Source organism: Homo sapiens, chromosome 17 (assembly GCF_000001405.40).
Source record: "Homo sapiens chromosome 17, GRCh38.p14 Primary Assembly".
NCBI classification, from domain to species: Eukaryota; Metazoa; Chordata; class Mammalia; order Primates; family Hominidae; genus Homo; species Homo sapiens.
The window spans coordinates 1556053-1580870 of NC_000017.11; the positions used below are offsets into that span (position 1 = coordinate 1556053).

Sequence of the window (24818 nt, forward strand, 5' to 3'; positions counted from 1 at the left end):
ACCAGTCACAAGATGCTGAGCTGTTCCCATAGAAACTGTTAAGTCAGGATGGGGATGGGGTTACTGACAAAGACTCTGAGAAGGTTGATCATGAATTGTTTCTTCTTCGGCCTTCCCCTCCAAGATTTTTCTAATTCTCTGAAACTAAGTTCCGCTTCGACCCTACCCAGGCCACGTGGTACTTTCTTGTCAATGGTTTCTTGCTGAGAACGGGCTGACCACTGCCAGGCAGACAGGTGAATCCTGATCAGCACTCACTTCCCAAGCTTCTGCTTAGACTTCAGGCTCTGATTACTCAACTCCGCCCCACCACTTCCTCAATGCTGCAGAAAAACCATCACAAGTGAACACCCGCCAACTGTGGATGCTCTCAAGGTGGAAGTTCCCCTTTCCTTCCAGTCTTGGCCCCACCATAAGCCATCAGTGTCTGGCCCTTCAGCCTTACTCCAAGAACAGCCCCAGGTGCTCCAGGACAGGCTGGCCCTCCTTGGTCTGCAGCACTTCTCAGAGACACTCTCGCCCTTCGTTCCATCAAGAAACTCCCTATCAAAGGATCCATTTCACCCCTAATCACCACACTAAGGAAATCCCGAGTTCCTGGGGCACATCTTCCTAACGATCGGGGTGGGATCATCCTGTACAGCAGAGAGGACGTCACTGGACACCTCCCCAAGAGCTGAGTTTGAGGGCAAGGGACGCGCTGGGCTTTCCTGCTTGGCCTTCTGGTTTGGAAAATCATCGCTTGCTATTTTCAATAAAGACAGCACAGGCTGGGTGAAGTGGTTGACATCTGTAATCCCAGCACTCTGGGAGGCTGAGGCAGGAGGACTACTTGAGGCAAGACCAGCGTGGACAACAGAGTGAGACCCTATCTCCACTATTTAAAATAAATATTATAAAATAAAAAAAATAAAGACAGCATGGCCAAAGCAGGTGGGTTAACAAGACCCTTCCAAGCCAACACCTGTCAGCCCAGGCACCTGGTTCTCAGGCCCCAGGTACATCCCCAGTGCCTACAGGGATTAGAGCCATCTACCCAGCCATTCCCTCATTCTCCCTGGTTCCCAGGTTCCCCAGTCTCGTTTCTCTTTTCTGCCCTTCCCAGAACCCCAAGATCACGGTCAAGGCCCACCTCTGGCCCCCTCCCCAGGTCCCCACAGCTCTTATCAGATATGTAGCCCACCCCTGGAGGCAGTCCTCTAAAGGGCCAGTGTCTGCCCACCCCTCTCGGGGGCCAACAAGCCTGGATGTCTGTCTCAACTAAATGTGCTGCAGGCTCTGCTGGCCTGATTTCATTTTTCAAAGGTGCAGTTCATATTGGGAACAGAGTGGAAGTTATCACAGGAGCTTCATGCTGACACTGCAGGAAAGAGAGACGGAGCCCAGTGACTGGAGGCACTATACTGGCTGACGAACCTCACCCAAACTCGAGTTTAACTGGAAGCTGGGGCGGGGTGGGGCTGTGATTTCAGAAGGAAGCAAAGAACAAGGCTGCGCCAGGAGAGGAGAGTGGAAGAAGTTCAGAGAAAGAGTGAGACAAGGGAGGTTCCGTGACAGTTTTCCGTTGTCCAAGAGACTGACTCTGAGTCAGCATGGCCTATGAACCTTCTTACAGCAAATCCTGCTGCCAGATCCCCACATACAAGGATGTCAGACCCAGGAACCGTAAAAGGACAGAGGACAAGCCAAGCCTATGTGTTATTCCCTGCCCTTCGTAAAAGGAGGGTTCTGTGTCTTGGTCTTTCCAGCAGTCACCTATCGTGGCTAGGGAGAGCCTCAAGAGATTTCCTGCCCTGCTGGTTTGTTGCACAACCAGAAAGAGCCACGCACACTTGCCAGCCGAGTCACGGACGTCCCAGAAATGCACACACTTGATCCCATCAATAATGCGTCCCCGGCCGGGTGTGGGGGCTCACGCCTGTCATCCCAGCACTTTGGGAGGCTGAGGCGGGCGGATCACTTGAGGTCGGGAGTTTGAGACCAGCCTGGCCAACATGGTGAAAGCCCATCTCTACTAAAGATATAAAAATTAGCCGGGTGTGGTGGCACACACCTGTAATCCCGGCTACTTGGGAGGCTGAGGCAGGAGAATAGCTTGAACCCACGAGGCAGAGGTTGCAGTGAGCGGAGATCGCACCACTGCACTCCAGCCTGGGAAACTGAGCAAGACTCCGTCTCAAAAAAAAAAAAAAAAAAGGGTCCCCAGACATGCACAGCCCCAGCAGATAAAAGGGGCTGGTTTAATCTCTACTCATCCAGCATACCAACAGCTTGGGACAGGTTGCACACAGTTACCCAGATATACAAAGTAAGTGCCATTTTTCAACTGAAAGTGGCACCACGAAATTCACATTGAAATATTTATGTTAGAACAAATAAGAAAACTATATAAACAGGATAACCACTCAGAGCCCAGCTTAGCCAATGGTCACAAACAGTTACACACAACTATGGACCAGAAAGTAAAAGGACTTACCTCATCTACAGACACAGGCAGGATTACTCGACTATAAGAAAGGGAAAAGAGAGTATCAACTTTAGGCTGTGCAATCTGCTCAAGGCTCTTTAAAGCATCATCCTAAAACAGTCAGCAGCATTCTATTGTGTAAGACACTAAATTCAGTGACGAAAACCCCACAGAGAATGGCCCTTTGAGTGCTCTGAGGACAGGACCCTCTGTGCCCTAGAGGTGTAAGACACTAAACTCTGTGACAACACCCCCCCCCCGCCCCCCCCCCCAGAGAATGGCCCTCTTAGTGCTCTGAGGACAGGACCCTCTGTACCTTGAGGCATCCCAGTTAGAACCCTGTGATTCAGTCCAAACCTATCCTCCCGCCAGCTACTTCCCAGGCCTCCACCTCACATTCGGAACTGGACATATGGATGATAAACTTCACCCAAACTTGCCAATGAGTCGTCCCCCCAACAAGACTTGCCAGTGAGTCTAGTAAGACAGGTTAACACAGGAGGACCTATCATGGTGAGGATTCAGACCCAAACAAGAGGCCCTGGGGACTTAAATTTCTGTGGACCCAACCTCCCAACAACAGCCCTCCAGGGGAAGGGCCAGGAAGGGACCAAGCCCCTTGAAGCCTAAGAACACACACCGGGCATCTCTGCTCGGGGCTGGATATTACAATCCAAGCTGCTACCACAAAGCCACCAAGAGGGCATTCAACTTATGTCCTGACCTCCAGGAGCTGTCCAAAGGAATCCCAATTTATCATTTTCTTTTCTTCTTCTCCAACTCAATGACCACCAATTGCTGGAGATGCCACCAGCAACCTATTGGAGAAGCCGTGGCCGGCAAAGTCTCCGCCAGGGCCAGAACCCCACAGAGGTGCCAGGGCTAGCAGCACTTCTCCAGGTGCCGTGCATGTGAAATGCAGACCAAGAGCCACCCCCAGTTCAAAGCTGTGAGGCGGGAGAGCTAAGACAAAAACTCTTGGTTTTACCCATACAAGTCCAGCCAGTTTCCAAGCTTAGACGTTCGGTCCCCAGACCCTTGCTGGAGCCCTCTGGGTCCTTTTGTGTCTTGCATGTTTAGTGAAGCATTAGGGAAGCATGAGCTGCTGTGCCTTCCTTATGCAGCCGGCTCACCACTCAGGCTCCTTGCTCCAGGCTAGTAAACAGCTATTTTCTAGTTCCACAAAGGTCCCCCAGGAAGCAAGAAGGACACAGAGGGGTCTGAGGAAAACATCACCTCAAAGGCAAGACACCAAGCAGGAAAGTAGCAGGAAAAACAAAATGGGCTCCAAGTCTTTACTGCCTGCTAACAACTCCCTTCCTCCAGAGCAACTCAAACAACATAAATCCTCCAGTTTACTGAATGCTGCCAGTGAGCCTCCCCTCCCATTACAGAAAGCCAGTGGTGCAGAAAAATACTCCCAACTTGGAGGCCAGAATTTCTGCACCCTCAGAAGAAACTTCCTAGAAAACAATAAGCCTTTTATCTTCAAGAACAGCAGTCAAAATCACATCCAAGATTTTGCAGAAATCAAATTAAACAGAATCCTGTTAGAGGAAGTGTTGGAAAAATCAACAGGGGCAACCTGCAGACGCTGGGTGGGAACCAAGTCTCACCCCAAAAGAGAATGCCATGGGCCAATTCCTGACGGGATGCGCTGAGGCTGCTGACGTGACGGCTGCACACTCTGACACTGCCCCCTTGCTCCTTAGGAACAAAACCACTTCGGCAGCAATAGGGTACAATTCCAAAGGACAGGGCCACAGAGGAACTGCCGGGCTGGGCCTGGAGCGGCACTCACTCTAATGTGACCTTCACTCGCACCCTTTCCAGGGCTGCAACGCTGCGGCCACAGCCAGTGTCTCGGATGCCCTGATGCCCCTGCTCCTCCCCCGTCCCCCGCCCAGGGATGCACACACGGGGCACGAGTCGGGCAGGAAGGAAACGCAGATACCAGGCAGGCCCTGCATCTCCGGCACCTTGGACTTTTCCCTTGCAGGCTTCAAGGGGAGGAGAACAAAGACAGGGAAGGAGTGCCTCTCTTCAAACCTCACTCAGATCTCCTCTGAAGGTCCCTTCCTTTCCCTGCCTGACCTTCATTTCAAAACCACAGATTTCTACAGATTCTAGGGTTCATTTGGGAACAGGAAAAAGAATCAGAAGGATGGGAAAAGCCTGTCAGTCTGGACACTGAAGATTAAAATCTAAAGTGCACCACGTTCTCCTGTTGGCATCGTAAAGTTCTTCCTCCTCACCAGGAAAAGCTCCGAGCCCTGGCTGAATTAACATCAGACTGGATGTCAAGAAACAGAGGGGATGAGGCCTCAAAATAATGCTCTTCAGATGAGGTGTTTAGCTGGGATGACATGTGGGTCTCAGCTCCCTCTGTTACCCAAACTCCACTCTATGTCCTAAATGTCCTAAGCACCTCCAAGGAGCCAGCCTGGTGGGGATGGTCAAAGTGCGATCGCTGACAAAGTGGCAAGAGCTCTCTGCACACCTGCCTGGCTGCCTCACAAGTTGCTCTCTGTTTGACCATCTCCCACTCCTGGGGCTTCTGGCCCTCCCTCCAGGAAAGCAGTTTCACTGTAAATTCTGTGCACACACGCACACGCACACACACACACACACCCATCCTATCTCTCCTCTTTGGGGAGAAAAATGTCCTGTGATGCTTACTTGGAACCCTGAGCTTCAACGATGGCTCATCTTGTACTTGAAAGATTTAGCACACCAAACATCTCCACCTGTCCCCCAGTCCCCTGGATTTCAGGAGCAAACCCGTCATCCTGCAACTCCTTCCAGAAGTCACCAGTTTCCCACGCACCCCTCTTCACTACTCAAGAGCTCCCCACCCCTTCCACCATCTCTCCTCAGTTCACGGCTCCATGGACCCCTCAATTCCTCAAAGAATTTCCCCATCTCTTTGCACCAAGACTGAGAATCCCCTAGAAACAAGCTGGCCCTGCCCTGGTCTCCCCCATCTCCAACGGCAGGTATACTCATCCCAACATACTCTCTTTCCGGACCAGCCTCGACCCCGGTAACTTCCCGGCCTTCTCCACTTCGGACCCTACCCAACATTTTCTGGCCTCCTCGCCCAAGTCTCCCCACGTCCCAAGCAGTCATCCCAAGCTTGTTCCAAAAGCCTCCTCTTCCGCACCAGCTGCTTGGGCACCACGGTTACTCCGGCCCGCATCTCAGCCCCCTCTGCATGTCCTCAGACCCTTCACCTGTCTCCCCAGCCAGGCCCTGACTTCCTAGTCCTCCTCCTGTGTCCACTTACCACCACCCCTCACCCGATGCCTAAGGCGGCCACTCCTCCCCATCCCCATCCCAACTCCATCGCGGAGCCTCTGACCCATCCACCCGGCTCTCCGTGTGAACTGTTCGGCCCTCCACCTTTCCCCACCGCCGGGAGGCCCTGCCTGCCCCGGTGCGCCTCTTCCTCGGCCGCCGCGGGGCCTCTCAGCGCCGCCTGCAGTCCCGGCTGAGCCCGCGCCCTCGGCCCGCGCAGAGCGACCCCACAGCACTCCCAGCGCTCGGCGTCCCCTCGGCCTCCCCCAGTCCCGGGCCAGCTCTCCCTGCCCTGACCCCGTCTCGGGCCTGGCCTCGCCCTCGCTGTCCCCGGCCTCTCCTCGGGTCCACTTGGGCCTCCGAGGCCCCCGGGGCGCCTGAGGAGCCGTCCGCCCGGGTTGTCCCTCCGTGCCCGTGGGCCCCTCCATGCCCCGGCTGCCCGTCCATGCCCCGTGGGCCCCGGCTCAGATGCCGAACGCCCCGGCTGCCCCTCCACGCCCCGGCCGCCCCTCCACGCCCCGGCCGCCCCTCCGTGCCCCGTGGGCCCCGCCTCACGTGCCGCCCGCCCCGGATCCCCTCCATCCCCGCTGGGCCCGCCTCAGGCACCCTCCGTCCCTGCTGCCCCTCCGTCCATCCGGGCCCTGCGTCCCTCGCCGCGCCGTCGCCCCGGCGGCCGTCCCCACCCTCCCTCCTCCCCGCTTCCGCACGGCCGCCGGACACTCACTACTCCTTGAGCAGCACCATGTCGCTTCGCGGCTCGGTGGCTGCCCGCGGCCCGCCCGGCCTCCCGCCCGCTGCCCGCCGGCCGCTCTCCCCGTGGCCCGGCCCGGCCCGGCTGCCTGTGCGTCTTCGTCGTGCTCTGCTCCGTCCCCGCCGCCCTCGCCGCGGTCGCCGCGCCGGCTCCTGCCGCCCGGGCCTCGTCGCCTCTCGCGCCGCTGCCGACGCCGCCCGGAGCTCCGGTTCCGCAGCGCCGCGCGGGGGCGGGGCGTCTCTGCGGCAACCAGAGCGTCACACGCCGCGGTGCGCGCTGACGTCACGCGGGGCCGAGCCTTCCCAGGCCCGCCCTCCCGTCCTTAAGTGGGCCGCGGCGGCGCTGTCGGTTCCGAGGTGGGGCCCCGCGGCTGGGGCCAGACCCGGCAGAAGGCGGAGCAGACTAGGGTGTCCGTCACCGTCCTCGGTGTGAACCGCCACGGATGCACGCGGGTGCTGGCTGGGGGGCCTCCCCGGTTGAGGGAATTGAGACCCAGGAAAAGGTTGTTTCAAAAAATATTAATAGCCGCGCGCGGTGGCCCACGCCTGTAATCCTTGCACCTTGGGAGGCCGAGGCGGGCGGATCACCTGAGGTCAGGAGTTCGAGACCAGCCTGGCCAACATGATGAAACCCCGTCTCTACTAAAAATACAAAAATTAGCTGGGCGTGGAGGCACGCACCTGTAATCCCAGCTACACGGGAGGCTGAGGCGGGAGAATCGCTTGTACCGGGAGGCAGAGTTTGCAGTGAGCCGAGATCGCGATCGCGCCATTGCACTCCAGCCTGGGGGACAAGAGTGAAACTTCGTCTCAAAAAAAAAAAAAAGAAAAGAAAAGGGCTGTGAGGCCGGGCGCGGTGGCTCCTGGCAGTAATCCCAGGCACATCATGCCTGTAATGCAGCACTCAGGCGGGCGCATCACCTGAGGTCAGGAGTTCCAGACCAGATGGCGAAACCCCATCTCTACTAAAAGTACAAAAATTAGCCGGGCGTGGTGGTGGACGTGGTGGTGGTAGTCCCAGCTGCTCGGGAGGATGAGGCAGGAGAATCGCTTGAACCCTGGAGGCGGAGGTTGCAGTGAGCCGAGATCGCACCATTGCACTCCAGCTGGGGCGACAGAGCGAGACTCTGCATCAAAAAAAAAAAAAAAAAAAAGAATGAAAAGGGCTGTGAGAAATGAGACACAGGCTTAGCGGCATTACACGGAGGGGCACCTAATTGAGCGTCAGGGATGTAGTCAGGGAAGGCTTCCTGGAGGAAGAGATTCTCAGATCTGCAGAGGGCTTCGGAGAAGAGCATAGCAGGCAGAGTGAATGCAAAGGCTGGAGGCAAGAGGGAGAGCATGGTGCATTTGGAGAACTGACAAGTGAGTGGAACAGAACATTTCAGGGCTGAGCAGCTCAATAGGGGAGGGTTCCTGGTGAACGATGATAAGGTATTTGGAGTCCACCCTAAGGGCGGTGGGAGGGCATGTAAGGGCTCTGAGCAGTGACATGAGCGGGTGTCCTGGGCGAAGGCTCACTCTAGTGGTTGGGTGGACAGAGGGGATGGAATGCCAGAGCGTAGGCAGGGAGACCGGCGAGGAGGCTGCTGCAGATGTCCAGGTGCAGGTGGACTAGGACAGTGGGAGGGAAGAAAAGGAAGGGATGGATTCAGGAGCAACTCAGAAGGTAAACTCCGTGAGACTTGTTGACTCATTGGCTGAGAGGAGGAGAGAAAAGCAGCGAGGTCTCTGGCCTGGGAGCCGGGGTGGACGGTACTGTCTTCTCTGAGAACACAGGCAAGACAGGCTGGCATGGGGGCAGGTAATGACTCCAGTGCTGGACTCACACTCAGCGCAGGACGCTAGAGGGGCATCCAGGGGAGATGGGAGTGGGCTGCCTAAGACAGGGACTTGGGAAGGGAGGGTGGAGCAGCTGGCCGTGTTGCTATCAGGATGTGACTGGCGGCCCGCGACTGCCCTGAGCACTGTGCTCACTTATCAGATCCTAGAGTGGGGGCCAGGCTGAGTGCCTCACACCTGGATTCCCAGCACTTTGGGAGGCTGGGGCGGGCGAATCACTTGAGGCCAGGAGTTCAAGACCAGCCTGGCCAACATGGTAAAACCCCATCTCTACTAAAACAAAAATTAGCTCAGTGTGGTGGCATGTGCCTGTCGTCTCAGTTACTCGGGAGGCTGAGGTAGGAGAATCGCTTGAGCCCTGGAGGCAGAGGTTGCAGTGAGCCGAGATCATGCCACCGCACTCCAGCCTGGGCGACAGAGCAAGATTCTGTCTCAAAAAAACAAGCCGACCACTATTCACAATAGCAAAGACTTGGAACCAACCCAAATGCCCATCAATGACAGACTGGATAAAGAAAATGTGGCACAGCCGGGCGCGGTGGCTCACTCCTATAATCCTACCACTTTGGGAGGCTGAGGCGGGCGGATCATCAGGTCAAGAGATCAAGACCATCCTGGCTGAAATGGTGAAACCCTGTCTCTACTAAAAATACAAAAATTAGCTGGGTGTGGTGGCACGCGCCTGTAGTCCCAGCTACTCGGGAGGCTGAGGCAGGAGGATCACTTGAATGCAGGAGGATCACTTGAATTCAGGAGGCAGAGGTTGCAGCGAGCCAAGATCGTGTCACTGCGCTCCAGCCTGGCGAGAGTTAGACTCTGTCTCAAAAAAAAAAAAGTCTCAGATAATGTGGCACATATACACCATGGAATACTATGCAGCCATAAAAAAGGATGAGTTAATATCCTTTGTAAGGACATGGATGAATCTGGAAACCATCATTCTCAGCAAACTATAGCAAGGACAGAAAACCAAACACTGCATGTTCTCATTCATAGGTGGGAATTGAACAATGAGAATACTTAGACACAGGAAGGGGAACATCACACTCTGGGGCCTGTTGTGGGACGGGGGGAGGGGGAGGGATAGCATTAGGAGATATTCCTAATGTAAATGACTAGTTAATGGGTGCAGCACACCAACATGGCACATGTATACATATGTAACAAGCCTGCACGTTGTGCACATGTACCCTAGAACTTAAGTATAATAAGAAAATAAAATTAAATTTAAATTAAAATAAAAAAAAACAAGCCGACCTTGGACATCATGTCATCTCACCCCTCCAGGTTACAGTGCACATTCTAGAAATATGCACATTTCTTACAAATGCATAATGCCATTGTCATACTTAACAAAATTAATAATGATTTCCTGATGCTATCTCATCCCCAGTTCATATTCTAATTTCCCTGCTAATCTAAAAAATGCTATAGTTTCCTTTAGAGAAGTTCAGTATCCAGGCAAGGTCCATGTATTTTTTTTTTTCACACTTTATTTTGAGTTACGTTTTTTACATCTTTTTCAATAGCAAGTTTGCTGCAGATGTCCATACGGGTTAGACGCAGGGGTCACACCACTCTCCAGCTGTGCCACACTGTGAGCCAACAGCCCCACCCAGGACACAGACTTCCGCTGCCTTGGAGTCCCAGGCCTCCACTTCCTACCTCTGTGACCTTGTGCAAGTGACTTAACCTCTCTGTATCTCAGTTTCTTCACTTGGGAAATAGGGAACATGCCGGTACCTGCGTCATGGGGCTGCTGAGCCTCCTTGGATGAGGCAATGGACATGAAGCAGCTTTCTGCAGTGAGTGGCATATTTCCTTATTATTATTATTATTATTATTATTATTAATTATTGGGAAAAGGGCGTTGTGAACAAGGAGGGATGGACACCCCTGCCCCTCAAAACTACCTCTAGGCTGGTCACGGTGCCGCACACCTGTAATCCCAGCACTTTGGGAGGCCGAGGTGTGTGGATCACCTGAGATCAGGAGTTCGAGACCAGCCTGGCCAACATGGTGAAACCCCGTTTCTACTAAAAATACACAAATTAGCCAGGCGTGGAGGTGTGCGCCAGTAGTCCCAGCTCCTCGGGAGGCTGAGGCAGAAGAATCATTTGAACCTGTGAGGCAGAGGTTGCAGTGAGCCGAGATAGAGCAAGACTCTGTATCAAAAACAAAACAAAACAAAAAACCTACTTCTGCATTTCTGCATGCTCCAGGCTTAACAGAGGAAAGAAACGAGCAGCTTTCCATGGATCTCTCTCTCTTTGCCTTGCTCCCTCTGTCCGTCCTCTCTCAGTTTCTCAAGCTCCCTCTCTCTTCCTGTTTCTCCTGTCCCTTTCGTATCTCTCTGTCTCTCACTTGTGTCTCTCTGGCTCTCCCAGGCTGTCTCTCTCTGGACCTCTGTCACCCTGTCTCATTCTCTCTCTGTTCTCTGTCCCTCCCTTCACATCTCTGTCTCCCTTTATGACTGTCGTCTCACTTCTCTGGGCTCTCTGCATTTCTGCCTCACCTTTACCTCGCTTCCTGTCTCTCCTCTTTGGGCCTTTCCCTTCCCCTCTCTCCCACTTCCTGTGGTCTCAGTCTTTGTTTTTTTTTTTTTTTTTATTATTATTTTTTGAGACAGAATCTTGCTGTGTCACCAGGCTCGAGTGCAGTGGCGATCTCGGCTCACTGCAAGCTCCGACTCCCTTGTTCAAGCTATTCTCCTGCCTCAGCCACCCGAGTAGCTGGGATTACAGGCGCATGCCACCACGCCTGGCTAATTTTTGCATTTTTAGTAGAGACGGGATTTCACCGTGTTGGCCAGGATGGTCTCGATCTCCTGACCTCGTGATCCGCCTGCCTCGGCCTCCCAAAGTGCTGGGATTACAGGTGTAAGCCACCGCGCCCAGCCCTTGTTTTGTTTTTCTTCTCTTTTTTGAGACAGAGTGTTGCTCTGTCGCCCAGGCTGGAGTGCAGTGGCATGATCTCGGCTCACTGCAAGCTCCATCTCTCGGGGCTCAAGCGATTCTCCTGCTTCAGCCTCCCGAGTAGCTGGGATTACAGGAGCCCGCCACCACGCCCGGCTAATTTTTGTATTTTTAGTAGAGACGGGGTTTCACCATGTTAGCCAGGATGGTCTCGATCTCCTGACCTCGTGATCTGCTCGCCTCAGCCTCCCAAAGTGCTGGGATTACAGGCGTGAGCCACTGCGCCTGGCCAATTTTTTTTTTTTTTTTTTTTTTTAAGAGACAAGCTCTCATTATGTTGCCCAGGCTGGTTTCAAACTCCTGGGCTCAAACGATCCTCCTGGCTGGGCCTCCCGAATTGCTGGGATTATAGATGTGAACCACAAGACCCCATGTTTCATCGTCTCTTTGCGGCTATCTCCTTTCCCCTGTGTCTGCTGTGTTCTATCACAGTCTATTTCTCTCTCTCACTCCTTCGTCTTTTTGTTTTGTTTTGTTTTTTCTTTTTTTTTTTTTGAGATGGAGTTTCACTCTTGTTGCCCGGGCTGGAGTGCAATGGTGCCATCTCAGCCCACTGCAAACTCTGCCTTCCAGGTTCAAGCAATTCTCTTGCCTCAGCCTCCCGAGTAACTGGGATTACAGGTGCCCGCCACCACGCCCGGATAATTTTTTGCCCTTTTAGTAAAGATGGGGTTTCACCATGTTGGCCAGGCTGGTCTCCAACTCCTAGGCTCCAGCGATCCACCTGCCTCAGCCTCCCAAAGTGCCAGGATTACAGGCATGAGCCACGGCACCCGGCCACTCTTTCATCATTGTGTCTGTGGATCTCACGGTTCCAGTTCTCAGCATGGTTTCCCCTGGGTGGTTGACCCTTGGTACTGCGTCGGTTATAGCCAGCCCTGTAACCCATCTCTGGGTGTCCTGGGGAGACTGTATTTCACTGTTTCCATCTTCCGCTCTGCTCTTCTCCCAGCCTCTTAGTCTATTTTAGCTTCTTTTCTGTGGTATTTCTGTCTCTCTCTCTTTTTAAACTTCGTCCCCCAAATATTTATTGAGCAGCTATTCCATGCCAGGCACGATTCTAGGCACTGGGGGTAGAGTGGGGACCAAGGCAGAGCATGCGCCAGCCTTCAAAGAATGTTTTTTTCTTTCTTTTCTTTTTTTTTTTTTGAGACGGAGTCTCGCTCTGTTGCCCAGGCTGGAGCGCAGTGGTATAATCTCCGCTCACTGCAAGCTCCGCCTCCCGGGTTCACGCCATTCTCCTGCCTCAGCCTCCCGAGTAGCTGGGAGTACAGGCACCCGTCACCACGCCCGGCTACTTTTTTGTATTTTTAGTAGAGACGGGGTTTCACCGTGTTAGCCAGGATTGTCTTGATCTCCTGAGCTCGTGATCTGCCCGCCTCGGCCTTCCAAAGTGCTGGGATTACAGGCGTGAGCCACCGCACCTGGACATTTTTTGTAGTTTTAGTAGAGACAGGGTTTCACCATGTTAGCCAGGATGGTCTCGATCTCCTGACCTCGTGATCTGCCCGCCTCGGCCTCCCAAAGTGCTGGAAATGCTCGCCACCACGCCTGGCTACTTTTTGTATTTTTAGAAGAGACAGGGTTTCACCATGTTGGTCAGGCTAGTCTCGAACTCCTGACTTCAGGTGATCCGAGGGGGCTTCCTTTATAAGCAGAATTCACCAGCAGCCTTGGTCTTCCCACCCAAAAGGCCTGTTGCTCTGCCCTCCCACACTCCTTCAAATGGCAATGCAGATCAACCAGCAAATGCAGCCTGGCAGGGGTGGGGGTCAGGAACGCATCCCAGTCAAGGGACAGGGAACCTGGGCACCAGACAAGAGGCGAGAAATGTGTGATCTAGGGAGAAAGAGACACAGGAGCCAAGGAGGAAGCCGCTCGCAGTCATTCTCAGCATACATTTATTGAGTGCTCACTGTGTGCCAGGAAGTAAGCCAGGTGCTAGAAACGGCAAAGGAGCAGGGAAGAGGCGGGTCAGCCGCTGGGTTGACCCTGGTTAATACAGGGTACGGATTAACCCTTCAGGCTCCCTTCCGAGGGCCTGGGCGGGGTCTTGGGGCCGCTCCTGCCCAGGTGTTCTTTCCAGCAATGGAAAGGGATTCAGCGAGGTAAGACGCTTCCCCTCTCCTCCATTCAGAGAGCGGCACACAAGAAATCTACACAGTCTTCCCAACATGTACACACCCTGACATGCCCGGATGCATCTCACACTTAGATAAACACACACGCACACAGTCAGAGGCACGGTCCCGCAGCTGTATGAGGATGCGGTGTACAGGTGCTGCCTACGTGACCGTGCCTTGAGTCGCCCCACTCAGCAGAAACCTCACTCAGCAGAAACTTGTCCACCAGTGATTGATTATCTCGAGCAGCTATTTGGCCAAGTCTTACCAAAACGTGAAAGCCACAAAAGAAAAGTGAACGAGAGAAGAGTTTCTTAAGGCTTTGCTCGGAGAGGGCTTCGGAGAAGGGTGGGGTCAGCAGATACAGACCTTACTTTTTTTTTTTTTTTTTTTTTTTTTGAGACGGAGTCTTGCTCTGTCGCCCAGGCTGGAGTGCAGTGGCACAATCTCGGCTCACTGCAAGCTTCACCTCCCGGGTTCATGCCATTCTCCTGCCTCAGCCTCCCAAGTAGCTGGGACTACAGGTACCCACCACCACGCCCAGCTAATTTTTTTTTTTCGTATTTTTAGTAGAGATGGGGTTTCACTGTGTTAGCCACGTTGGTCTCGATCTCCTGACCTTGTGATCCGCCCGCCTCAGCCTCCCAAAGTGCTGGGATTACAGGCGTGAGCCACTGCGCCCGGCCCTAATTTTTGTATTTTTAGTAGAGTTGAGGTTTCACCATGTTGGTCAGGCTGGTCTCAAACCCCTGACCTCAAGTGATCCACCCCGCCCCCGCTTCGGCCTCCCAAAGCACTGGGATTACAGGGATGAGCCACCTCGCTGGGACCAGACCTTACTTTCTTGACTTGGCCACAAGTCTGTCCTGCTCAGAGCTGCTGAAAGTGGCTCTCCTGTTGTATGGGCTTGGGTGTGGTGTGGTGGCCCTTTCCCTGTCCCAGCTGCCTTCTTCCTGGGCACTGAAAACGATGCTACCATTGTTTTTTTTTTTTTTTTTGAGACGGAGTCTCGCTCTGTCGCCCAGGCTGGAGTGCAGTGGCGGGATCTCGGCTCACTGCAAGCTCCGCCTCCCGGGTTCACACCATTCTCCTGCCTCAGCCTCCCAAGTAGCTGGGACTACAGGCGCCCGCCACTACGCCCGGCTAATTTTTTGTATTTTTAGTAGAGACGGGGTTTCACCGTTTTAGCCGGGATGGTCTTGATCTCCTGACCTCGTGATCCGCCCGCCTCGGCCTCCCAAAGTGCTGGGATTACAGGCGTGAGCCACCGCGCCCGGCCAAATGCTACCATTGTTAAGTGCCAGGCGTCCCACCATGCGGGTCTTCACTGCGTATCCACGTAGCTGCACCACGCAGGCATTCTTTCCTCCCTTTTGCAGATGATGGCACCAAAGTTCAAGACTCGCCCAGGGCCACCAAGACAGTCCTCTAGACTTTGGTCTTCCCTCCTTGCCTCCTCGGCCTGGGGTGGTGGCGCCTCGGTCTGAGAAGGGTCGAGGTCTGGGTGCTGCTAGTGGCCCTGGCTCAGTCTCAGAGCTGCCCGGAGGGGGTGAGGATGGCTAACTTAAGGAGCACAGGCAGAGGCTTCCTGCTGGCAGGAAGAGGGCTGAGCTGCGGAAGGCCACCCAGGTGGAGTGTGCTGCACCTCCTTCAGTGGCCTTCAGGAGCTCTGTCCTCACCCAGGGATTGGGGTGAGTCAGGGCATGGGGAAACAGGCTCACAGAGCCCACCTGCTCACCCTGACCACCCCACCCCAGGGGACCCCAGGCTCCTAACTCTCAGAATCCCACAGTCTGTATTGGCGGAAGACGGGCTGGCACCCTTGAGTTAGGCCCCCAGTCGTTGGCACAGATAAGGGGAGCTGCTGCTGAAGGAGCCCGACGGCTGATTCTGTGGAGGCTTCTCAGAGCTCCTGGCAGGAGCCCCTCACCGCAGGAGGCCCACAACCCCTCCCAGCTGCATATCGGCTCACATTCACGCGGCTGCCACACAAGTGCGTCGGAAACTCCACTTGGCTGAACGTGATTGTGCTGCTGTCTGGGACAGTCTTATGCACGTGAGCCCAATACTGGATGTCCCGCCATTTTCAGCCCTGGGGCCTATGGCAAAGTGACGCCCCCCTCGGAGTGCACGGCAGGCAAGGAAGGTTTAAACGGAAGTTCTGACCAGGACGATGCTGGGTGCAAGAGGGGACGGGGATGGAGCAAAACAGAAAGGATCCACCAGGGCCTGCAACCACGTCTTTGGCCCCGGTGAGGGGTGGGACCTTGTGTATAGGTCCAGGCAGCAGCAGCTGCAGACAGAGGCCTAGAGGGTTTGGAGAAGGCCGACCACAAAGACACGCCTAGACCCCAGAGTCTAGTGAGGAGAGGGACTGGGGGCAGTGTTTCGGCAGCAGACCCAGACCCAGACTCAGACCCAAGCCCCCCTCCTCACTGATCAAAACCCCAAGGGCAGGGAGCCCTTCCTGCTCCTTCCCGCCAGAGCCTGGAGGATGAGGGGCAGACGGGAGGCCCGGCCACTGGTGCCTGCTCCTTTGATCAGCTGTAGTCCCTTCCCCTTCACAGGGCACTTGTCTTGCTGGTTGGGGTCACCAGGGATTGCTCCCCCAAGTACCCATCAGCCTCCAGGGCCCAAATGATTCCATGCAGTAGCTCTCTCCCCCTCTTCTGAGAAGGCTCTTGGCTCCCAGAAACGGAAACCATGCCTGGGCCTGCTCCCCTTCCTTGGGCTGTGACCCCCCTGCCACAGAGGCCCCCCCCCCGCCACAGAGGTCCCCCCTGCCACAGAGGTCCCCCTGCCACAGAGGCCTGGTGGCCCCTGAGCTGCTGCTCCGAGTGGAATGTCCTGGTCTAGAGGCCCTTGGCTGCTCCAGTGTCTTAAGACCCATATATGAGTGCTGGCTCTGACCTTGAACAAGCTCCTCCATCGCTCCAGGCCTCGTTTTTCAGGTGTATATGATGATAGTATCTCTAGGCCTCGTTTTTCAGTTGTAAAGCAGGGATGATCATATGTGTTTAACTCCCAGATTGTTATCAAGTCAAGGACAACAATAGGAAAACATGTCACCTGTCAGCTCCACACAAGGCAAAGTAGGATGGGTGACCCCTGACTAGGGGGTGGGAGTGCAGGGGGCACCCGACCCATCTGGCCAGCCACAGCCTCTGTACCCTGCTCGCATTTTCAGGCCTCAATCCCCAAGCACTGTTGGCCCTGGACTGTTTCCCCCCCTCAATTCTGTTTCTCAATGCCTGCTTCTTCCCAGTAAGTGCCACACCCTGAGGGTGGGTGGGAGAGTGAGGCAGCACTGCCCACTTTGGCTGGGACTGGGCACTGCTGGGGACAGCACGGGCCACGTCTTCCCCATCTCAAGACTGGCTTTTTGGCTAGGCATTGTGACTCACGCCTGTAATCTCAGCACTTTGGGAGGCTGAGGTGGGAGAATTGCTTCAGCCCAGGAGTTCCAGACCAGCCTGGGCAAAATAGCAAGAATTCATCTTTATGAAAAAGAAAAAAAAAATTAGCCAGGCATGGTGGCACACACTTATAGTCCCAGATACTTAGGAGGCCGAGGTGGGAGGATCCCTTGAGCCCATGAGTTGGAGGCCGTGGTGAGCTATCAGTTGCACCACTGCACTCCAGCCTGGATGGCAGAGCAAGACCCCAACTCAAAAAAAAAAAAAAAAAAAAAAAGGCGGCCTTTTCCCAGCTGGCAGCACCCTGGCTAGTTAGGGTTTCTCCGAATCTGCAACTCCTGTGTGATGGCGGGTCTCAAATGCTGGCAGCAGAGTCACCGGTCAGCGGCAAGACCTGGAGTCTCCATTTGGAACCAGCACCCGGGAGCCTCTGCTGGGGGTGATCATGGAGCCGCACGTGGAGGCTGGTGGCTCTGATGGTTCGAGCCGTTCCTCGGCAGCACAGCACACCCGCTCCTGAGGAGCCACGGAGCTCATGAGCGTTGGCAAAGTGCTGTCAGTGCTGGCTGTAAGGAAACAGGCTTGACTTTTAACTCAGCCTTTCCCAAACTTGACTATAATACTTTCTTGAAAATCAGAATAACCACTAACATCACAAAACGAGTGTTCTCAGGAGTGGGCATGTTTATCTCGTTCTCTTTTTTTTTTTCTTTTTGAGACGGAGCCTCGCTCTGTTGCCCAGGCTGGAGTGCAATGGTGCGATCTCGACTCACGGCAATCTCCGTCTCCCCGGTTCAAGCGATTCTCCTGCCTCAGGCTCCCGAGTAGTTGGGATTACAGGCGCACGCCACCACGCCCGATTAATGTTTATTTTTAGTACAGACGGGGTTTCTCCATGTTGGTCAGGATGGTCTCGAACTCCTGACCTCAGGTGAGCCTCCTGCCTTGGCCTCCCAAAGTGCTGGGATTATAGGCGTGAGCCACCACGCCCAGTCTTTTTTTAAATATTTGAGTGAAATAAAGCCTAGGAGATATGTGTTCCAGGCGCCCAAGCTGTTAATGTGGAGCTTGAATGTGGCCTGGACCTGCCCTTTCCTCTTCTCCTTTCATCCCCCTCCCTGCCGCCCACATCCTGAACTGCTCTGAGCCTGCAGAAGAACCCAGCGGGAATCTTCAGGGTTGTGGAAGGGTGTAGGGATGGAAAGGGACCAGGATTCGCCTGTTTGGCTGGGAAAATCGGTAGAGGAGGGTGGCTCACACTTCTAAGATGTCTGCACAAGCCCAGTTTGTTTGGGGGTTGGGGAGGAAGGTCTTTTCCTGGCCCACTGTCCCTCCCGAGTCAGCAGTCCCCCAGAGAGACGAAGAGCAGCTGGGCACGGCTGGAGCTGGTCGGTGGCAGAGAATCTTGTCCTGCCTTTTCTTCTCAAGCTCAAAATAGGCACATGCAGCTATTAACTGATATGCCAGAAGGGGCATCCCTTACCCGGAGGAAAATGGATTTATTGCTTTATAAAAAAGAAGTCTAATAAAACTGAAGAGAAAATAACTAAAAATCCAAACACAACTCACCCCTCTAAGCACGCCCAGGAGGTCTCAAGACACACTTCTGGGGGCAGTCAAGGTGGGCGGGTTGGTGGGCCAGGCGGACGGGCCTCCCCCGTCATCAGCTCCAGGGCCCCACGGAGCCCGCCGGCAGGGGGTGCTGTGGGCCTGTGGCCTTGGACAAGCTCCTGGCCCCACGCCAGGATGGCTCCTGGGCACTGGCCCAGCTGCAGGCCTGGCGGCTCCCGCCTGGTCAGTGGGGATAAGGGCTAACTCCTAGAGCCCACCCCGACCCCACACACACCTCGGACCCACCCACGTCCCCACCCCGGCCTGGACCTCCACGTCTGCCGGCCACAGCCTTTCGTCCACCTCCACAAAAGCAGCTGTGTGTATGTACGGGGTGCCCTGGCGGCGGTCCTCAAATTCCCTTCAGGTGGCAGACAGAACGAGGGTGACAGTGAAAACGTGTCCGCGGCATTGGCCCTCGGGGAGGAGGCGAGGGGTCCACCCAGCCCGCTAAACCCTCTCCAGGGCATAAGCCAGGTGGGGCTTCTCCACCGGCCTCCAACGGGTGGGCAGGCCCTGGACAGGCGACAGGGGGCTGGAATTACAAAGGAATTAGCACCGACAACAGGAAGCGGGTCCTTCCTTCCTCAGGCAGCCTCAGGCTGGCCGGGGAGGGGGTGGGGGCCAGGCGCGGGCGAGACAGTGCAAGCCTTTGTCCTCAGGCAGGTACGGCTGTGGGCATGCAGCCGAGGGGCAGGTGGCAGGCAGGGGATGGCAGCCCCCTCTGCTTTGGCAAGAGGCAGAATCCAGACACTGGCGGGAGAGCGCCTGCCTGCCGGGCGTTCCTGGCTCCTGCTGCAGGCACCACAGAGACCCCAGGCCCCGGGTCCCCGGGGGGCGGCAGAGCAAAGTCAGGGCAGCCCCTGCGTTCGGCAGGAGAAAACGCGCGTGTCCGGGGCCCTCTCCCGTCCTTCCACCACAGAGCTCCGAGGCAGGGCCCCGGGAGGGAGCGTGAACGCTGGCACGGAGACGGCGAAGGTCCTGGGGGTGCGTGGGGTACTCTGGAGGGGCAGGACAGGGGTCAGTCACTGAAGCACAGGCAGGAGACCGCAGTTCCGAGGCGGCAGCCACTACACGAAGGCCTCCTGGTTGGACGAGCCGTTGATTTTGAGGAAGAGTTTGTCATCCTCCTGCCTCTGCTGCAGCTGCCGCTCCAGCTGGCGCCGGTAGCAGATCAGGTAGAGCGGGAGGCAGAAGCCCAGCAGGCTGAGAAGGAGCAGCCCCACGTTCACCTGGGGAGGCAGGGAGGCCGCGCATCACAGGGCGTGGTGGTGCGCCGAGGCTGCAGACCCGCCCTCCACTCGGGTTTGGGAAAGGGGAGAAGGTCACGGGGTGGAAGGGGGAACGAAACAGGAAGGCCCACGAGGTCCCATATGCCAGCGTCCCGGTTCCCAACTCTTCACAGGCCATGTGGCCACCCTCAGGGCCTGGGCCCCCAGGAAACACGGGCTGATCTGAACCTCTGGGCTTGGAACAAGTTCCTGGTACCTGGTGAGGAAATCTGGCCCTCGGAGGTGGGGCGGGGACAGGAACTGTGTTCTTTTTTTTTTTTTTTTTTTTTTTTTGAGACGAAGTCTCGCGCTGTCGTCATTCAGGCTGGAGTGCAGTGGCGCAATCTCAGCTCACTGCAATCTCCGCCTCCCGGGTTCAAGTGATTCTCCTGTCTCAGCCTCCCGAGTATCTGGGATTACAGGCACCTGCCACCACACCTGGCTAATTTTTGTATTTTTAGTAGAGACCTGGTTTCACCATGTTGGCCAGGCTGGTCTTGAACTCCTGACCTCAAGTGATGCTCCCGCCTCGGCCTCTCAAAGTGCTGGGATTACAGGTGTGAGCCACCGCGCCCGGCCCAGGAACTCTGTTCTATTTCTCCCCAAATCAGGTCCAGAGAGGACATGTTCCTTTTCCTGCCTAGCCACCATTCACAAAGGGACTCTTAACCAATCCTAACCAACGCTCCCACATGTCCTCGGGGCCCTGAAGCCCCCGAGGGGGACCTTGCAGCTCGCAGTTAGCAGAAGGGGGCAGGCGCCCATGACCCACCATCCCCCGACCCCTCTTACCCACAGAGGGTCTCCCTGGAGAGGACCCATCATGGCCAGAAACAGCGGCTGCTGCAGAAGGGCGAAGAGCGCGCTGATCAGAGACTGCAGTCCCGTGAGGCTGCCGAACTGGGTGGAGGGGTACCTGCAGGGCAAGCGACAGCTCACAGCCATCCTGCCTCCTGGGCTTTGCTTGGCCCCAGGTGTCTGGTGACCCCGGGCTGCACCGTTGGTGCCAGAGAAGGGTGGGGTGCCAGCCCTCGGATTCCTTCCTGCTGGGCAGTTCTGTTTTTTTTTTTTTTTTTTTAAGATGGAGTCTTGCACTGTCGCCTGGGCTGGAGTGCAATGACACGATCTCGGCTCACTGCAACCTCCGCCTCCCCAGTCCAAACAATTCTCCTGCCTCAGCCTCCCTAGTAGCTGGGATTACAGGCGCCCGCCACCACATCTGGCTAATTTTTTGTATTTTTAGTAGAGACGGGGTTTCACTACGTTGGCCAGGCTGGTCTCAAACTCCTGACCTTGTGATCTGCCTGCCTCGGCCTCCCAAAGTTCTGGGATTACAGGCGTGAGCCACCGCGCCCGGCCCTGCTGGGTGGTTCTGCAAAGTGTTTCTCTTTGGACCAGCTCCAGGCCCCAGACTCTGGGGAGGGCCCACCCCACTCAGCTGTGCCCAGGGCCTGTGGGTGTCTGGCTGAGCCGAGTGGAAAGCGTGGTGCCAGCGGGGACCTGCGGTTTGGGAAACAGGCCCAGAGAGGAGTGTGGAGGCTGGGCTTGGCTCTGCAGTGCCCTCGTCCAGAGAAGCATTGAGTAATCGCGGAAACTCAGCACCACAGATCCCGCCCCCCTCCCTCAGACCCTGCCAGGACAGCCACAGCTTCCTCCAGGCCTGGGGAGGGGCAGGCGGAGGGCAAGCGGAGCTGGGATTACCCCAGGGGCTGTTGCGGGAATTGGGAGAGAGTTCCGGGCTAAATCTTAGCACATGTCAGGCTCTGCTGGCCCAGAGGTGGGAAAGGAATCCCAGCAACACATGAGCTGGTCCCACATCAGAGACTGTGGATGATGATGTTTGAGTTTCAGTTTTTGGGTCAAGGCCTGAGCCAGAGAAGAAGGAACCACTGTGGTTCCTTTTATGTTTCTGGGGCTTCTTGGAAAAAGATACAGGTTTCATTTTAGCCAGGGCTGGAGAAAGCTATGGCCAGAGCTGGGCGCACTGAGGCTCTGGATGGGCCCGTCTGGTGTATTCTGGACTCAGTCACCCATGTTGCTGCCCGTGATGAGGGCAACTGGAACTTCCGCATTTAGCTTCAGGCAGCCAGAACCTACCCATCCTTCCCAGTGAGCAGCCAGGGCCAGCCCCAGGACTCGGCTGTAGTGGCCCCTGAGGCCATAATGAGCTGCACAGGTGCCTGACCCTGGCTGGGGGAACTGACTTCGTGTTGAATGCCAAGGCTTGTGAGCACCCAACTGTCTGCCCACTGACCTGCTTCCCACGAGGTATGGCCTTTCCCTGAAACACCCAGCAGAAACCCTGGTACCTGTCCCCTGAAGCAGGAAGATGAGCCCTTCTGGGACAGGCTGACCCTGCCTCAGAGTCTCAGTCCCACCAGCAACCTCCCCCCGGCCATTCCCACACCCTCGCCCACCAGGCCACCTGCGGCTTCCAGGACTTACACGGCAGCGTACAGGCCCCCGACAGCGGAGTGGATGAATCCTCGCACGATTGTGTGCAGGATGAAGGAGAGGATCTGGGGGAGGAAAAGGCGACTGTGGGCATAAGGCCTTAAGGGACCGTCCCCTCAGCCCCCGCCCTCCAATTCCTGGGGGCCCTCACCCCAGGGGCAGTGTCAGCCTGGAGTTGGATCAACCCCATCCTCCGGAGCCAATTGTGAATTTTCAGAAATTTTGCAAGCCAGTCGTTAACACAGTCATTTTTTGTTTGTTTGTTTGTTTTGTTTTTTGTTTTGTTTGAGAAGAAGTCTTGCTTTGTCGCCCAGGCTGGAGTGCAGTGGCGTGATCTTGGCTCACTGCAAGCTTCGCCTCCTGGATTCAAGCAATTCTCCTGCCTCAGCCTTCGGAGTAGCTAGGATTACAGGCCCACGCCACCATGCCCGGCTAATTTTTGTATTTTTTAAGCAGAGATGGGGTTTCACCATGTTGGCCCGGCTGGTCTCAAACTCATGACGTTGTGATCCACCCGCCTCAGCCTCCCAAAATGATGGGATTACAGGCATGAGCCACTGCGCCCAGCCTAACCGAGTCATTATTAAAAATTAAATTATAGGCTGGGCAAGGTGGCTCACGCCCGTAATCCCAGTGCTTTGGGAGGCCGAGGAGGTGGATCACCTGAGGTCAGGAGTTCGAAACCAGCCTGGCCAACATGGCGAAACCCTGTCTTTACTAAAAATACAAAAAATTAGCTGGGCGTGGTGGTGGGCACCTGTAATCTCAGCTGCTTGGGAAGTTGAGGCAGGAGAATCGCTTGAACCAAGAGGTGGAGGTTGCAGTGAGCTGAGATCACGGCATTGCACTCCAGCCTGGTGACAAAGTGAGACTCTGTCTCAAAAAAAAAAAATAATAATAATAATAATAATTAAATTATAAGCCGAGAATGGTGGCTCACACCTGTAGTCCCAGCACTTTGGGAGGCTGAGGTGGGTGGATCATATGAGGTCAGGAGTTTGAGATCAGCCTGGCCAACACAGTGAAACCCCATCTTTACTAAAAATACAAAAATTAGCCGGGTGTGGTGGCGGGCGCCTGTATTCCCAGCTACTCAGGAGGGTGAGGCAGGAGAATCGCTTGAACCGGGGAGGCGGAGGTTGCGGTGAGCCGAGATAGCACCACTGCACTCCAGCCTGGGTGACAGAGCTAGACTCTGTCTCAAAAAAAAAAAAATTACATAAATTTATGACTAAATAAATAAATTATATTAAAGTAAAGGTAATGAATACTCAAAACTCTGAAAACTCATCACTTCCTGGCCTGGTGCAGTGGCTCACACCTGTAATCCCCACACTCTGGGAGGCCTGGGAGGATCACTTGAGCCCAGGAGTTCCAGACCAGCCTGGGCAACATGTCAAGACCCCATCTCTGCAAAAAAATATAAAAATTAACTGGGCTTGGTGGTACGTGCCCGTAGTCCCAGCTACTCAGGAGGCTGAGGTGGGAGGATCACCTGAGCTCGGGAAGTCAAGGCTGCAGTGAGCCAAGATCCCACCACTGCACTCGAGCCTGGCTGATGGGAGTGAGACCCTGTCTCAAAAAAAAACAAAATGAACGAACAAAACCATGGAAAACCTCATCCCTTCCTAATTATTTTACTTGGTTCACTAGAGCCTGTGCACGCATCAGGCTTTCCTTTTTTTTTTTTTGGAGACAGAGTCTTGCTGTGTAGCCCAGGCTGGAATGCAGTGGCACGGCTCACTGCAAGCTCCGCCTCCTGGATTCAAGCAATTCTCCTGCCTCAGCCTCCCTAGTAGCTGGGATTACAGGTGCATGCCACCAAGCCCGGCTAATTTTTGTATTTTTTGTAGAGACGGGGTTTCACTAGGCTGGTCTCGAACTCCTGACCTCAGGTGATCCACCCGCGTTGGCCTCCCAAAGTGCTGGGATTACAGGCGTGAGCCACCGTGCCCGGCCAGGCTTTTCACATCTACTGTAGAAATACCACGTGTCACTGTGACTCTCCAGTTCCACAGTCAGTGGCAACACATGGGCAGCTGGAAATCAGCCACGGTGAGTGCATGTGCACCGTGGAAGTCGGCAAACACTAGAACCAGGGCCCTGCTGACAGACGTGTATGGGCACAGCACTGAGCAAGAGGTTGCTGACCACGGCCTCGAGCTGCCTTTGCCCACCTCGGACTGTGCTCCAGGGTCTCCCAAGCCTGGTCACCCGGCCCTCCCAGCAGGTGGCTGCCCTCTCACCTCCCTCGTGAAGTGTTTCTTCGCTTTTTGTTTTGTTTTCTTTTTGTGGTTTGTTCTGTTTTGTTTGGTTTTGTTTTGGGACGGTCTCGCTCTACACCCCAGGCTGGAGTGCAGTGGTGTGGTCTCGGCTCACTGCAACCTCTGTCTCCTGGGTTCAAGCGATTGTTCTCCCTCAGCCTCCTGAGTAGCTGGGATTACAGGCATGTGCCACCAGGCCCGGCTAATTTTTTTTTTTTTTTTTTTGAGACAAGGTCTCACTCCGGTTGCCCAGGCTGGAGTGCACTGGTGCAATCTCAGTTCACTGCAGCCTCAACTTCCCGGGGTGCAGTGAGCCGAGATTCTCCCACCTCAGCCTCCTGAGTAGCT

At 55.3% G+C, this 24818-nt stretch overlaps 2 protein-coding genes across 10 annotated transcripts in view, besides 13 other annotated features; both read right to left on the reverse strand.

Moving 5' to 3' along the window:
- Window positions 1–6740, reverse strand: part of PITPNA (phosphatidylinositol transfer protein alpha) — a 45075-nt gene extending 38335 nt beyond the window's left edge. The window contains exons 1-2 of one of the 2 annotated variants that reach the window (NM_006224.4): window positions 6489–6740; window positions 2477–2507 (exon numbers count right to left, since the gene is read on the reverse strand). In NM_006224.4, coding sequence (NP_006215.1) covers window positions 2477–2507; window positions 6489–6508 — 51 coding nt within the window. In that variant the 5' untranslated portion in view covers window positions 6509–6740. Of the gene's footprint in view, window positions 1–2476; window positions 2508–5146; window positions 5846–6488 lie in introns of those variants that run through there. The other variant, XM_047436299.1, reaches the window with a different exon arrangement.
- Window positions 250–450: a silencer, noted in NCBI's record as "peak2674 fragment used in MPRA reporter construct". NCBI's record gives its function as "represses an SCP1 promoter by STARR-seq MPRAs in K562 erythroleukemia cells {active_cell/tissue: K562}" and the evidence as "EXISTENCE:reporter gene assay evidence [ECO:0000049][PMID:32103011]".
- Window positions 3812–4778: an enhancer, noted in NCBI's record as "H3K4me1 hESC enhancer chr17:1463158-1464124 (GRCh37/hg19 assembly coordinates)". NCBI's record gives its function as "activates a minimal SCP1, AML or CMV promoter by ChIP-STARR-seq in naive H9 embryonic stem cells {active_cell/tissue: H9 hESC(naive)}" and the evidence as "EXISTENCE:reporter gene assay evidence [ECO:0000049][PMID:30033119]".
- Window positions 5693–5792: an enhancer, noted in NCBI's record as "active region_11454". NCBI's record gives its function as "activates an Ori minimal core promoter by ATAC-STARR-seq in GM12878 lymphoblastoid cells {active_cell/tissue: GM12878}" and the evidence as "EXISTENCE:reporter gene assay evidence [ECO:0000049][PMID:35858748]".
- Window positions 5903–6032: a silencer, noted in NCBI's record as "silent region_7961". NCBI's record gives its function as "represses an Ori minimal core promoter by ATAC-STARR-seq in GM12878 lymphoblastoid cells {active_cell/tissue: GM12878}" and the evidence as "EXISTENCE:reporter gene assay evidence [ECO:0000049][PMID:35858748]".
- Window positions 6513–6562: a silencer, noted in NCBI's record as "silent region_7962". NCBI's record gives its function as "represses an Ori minimal core promoter by ATAC-STARR-seq in GM12878 lymphoblastoid cells {active_cell/tissue: GM12878}" and the evidence as "EXISTENCE:reporter gene assay evidence [ECO:0000049][PMID:35858748]".
- Window positions 6561–7060: an enhancer, noted in NCBI's record as "H3K27ac hESC enhancer chr17:1465907-1466406 (GRCh37/hg19 assembly coordinates)". NCBI's record gives its function as "activates a minimal SCP1, AML or CMV promoter by ChIP-STARR-seq in primed H9 embryonic stem cells {active_cell/tissue: H9 hESC(primed)}" and the evidence as "EXISTENCE:reporter gene assay evidence [ECO:0000049][PMID:30033119]".
- Window positions 6633–6912: a silencer, noted in NCBI's record as "silent region_7963". NCBI's record gives its function as "represses an Ori minimal core promoter by ATAC-STARR-seq in GM12878 lymphoblastoid cells {active_cell/tissue: GM12878}" and the evidence as "EXISTENCE:reporter gene assay evidence [ECO:0000049][PMID:35858748]".
- Window positions 10936–10985: an enhancer, noted in NCBI's record as "active region_11455". NCBI's record gives its function as "activates an Ori minimal core promoter by ATAC-STARR-seq in GM12878 lymphoblastoid cells {active_cell/tissue: GM12878}" and the evidence as "EXISTENCE:reporter gene assay evidence [ECO:0000049][PMID:35858748]".
- Window positions 13202–24818, reverse strand: part of SLC43A2 (solute carrier family 43 member 2) — a 60835-nt gene continuing 49218 nt past the window's right edge. For 4 of the 8 annotated variants that reach the window (NM_152346.3, NM_001321364.2, NM_001321365.2 and 1 more), the window contains 3 exons: window positions 22198–22271; window positions 20545–20668; window positions 13216–19713 (listed from right to left, as the gene is read on the reverse strand). In NM_152346.3, coding sequence (NP_689559.1) covers window positions 19552–19713; window positions 20545–20668; window positions 22198–22271 — 360 coding nt within the window. In that variant the 3' untranslated portion in view covers window positions 13216–19551. Of the gene's footprint in view, window positions 19714–20544; window positions 20669–22197; window positions 22272–24818 lie in introns of those variants that run through there. The other 4 variants (XM_017024179.3, XM_047435331.1, NM_001284499.1 and 1 more) reach the window with 2 other exon arrangements.
- Window positions 15373–16208: an enhancer, noted in NCBI's record as "H3K4me1 hESC enhancer chr17:1474719-1475554 (GRCh37/hg19 assembly coordinates)". NCBI's record gives its function as "activates a minimal SCP1, AML or CMV promoter by ChIP-STARR-seq in naive H9 embryonic stem cells {active_cell/tissue: H9 hESC(naive)}" and the evidence as "EXISTENCE:reporter gene assay evidence [ECO:0000049][PMID:30033119]".
- Window positions 19464–20276: an enhancer, noted in NCBI's record as "H3K27ac-H3K4me1 hESC enhancer chr17:1478810-1479622 (GRCh37/hg19 assembly coordinates)". NCBI's record gives its function as "activates a minimal SCP1, AML or CMV promoter by ChIP-STARR-seq in naive H9 embryonic stem cells {active_cell/tissue: H9 hESC(naive)}" and the evidence as "EXISTENCE:reporter gene assay evidence [ECO:0000049][PMID:30033119]".
- Window positions 20277–21088: an enhancer, noted in NCBI's record as "H3K27ac-H3K4me1 hESC enhancer chr17:1479623-1480434 (GRCh37/hg19 assembly coordinates)". NCBI's record gives its function as "activates a minimal SCP1, AML or CMV promoter by ChIP-STARR-seq in naive H9 embryonic stem cells {active_cell/tissue: H9 hESC(naive)}" and the evidence as "EXISTENCE:reporter gene assay evidence [ECO:0000049][PMID:30033119]".
- Window positions 21089–21900: an enhancer, noted in NCBI's record as "H3K27ac-H3K4me1 hESC enhancer chr17:1480435-1481246 (GRCh37/hg19 assembly coordinates)". NCBI's record gives its function as "activates a minimal SCP1, AML or CMV promoter by ChIP-STARR-seq in naive H9 embryonic stem cells {active_cell/tissue: H9 hESC(naive)}" and the evidence as "EXISTENCE:reporter gene assay evidence [ECO:0000049][PMID:30033119]".
- Window positions 21901–22711: an enhancer, noted in NCBI's record as "H3K4me1 hESC enhancer chr17:1481247-1482057 (GRCh37/hg19 assembly coordinates)". NCBI's record gives its function as "activates a minimal SCP1, AML or CMV promoter by ChIP-STARR-seq in naive and primed H9 embryonic stem cells {active_cell/tissue: H9 hESC(naive and primed)}" and the evidence as "EXISTENCE:reporter gene assay evidence [ECO:0000049][PMID:30033119]".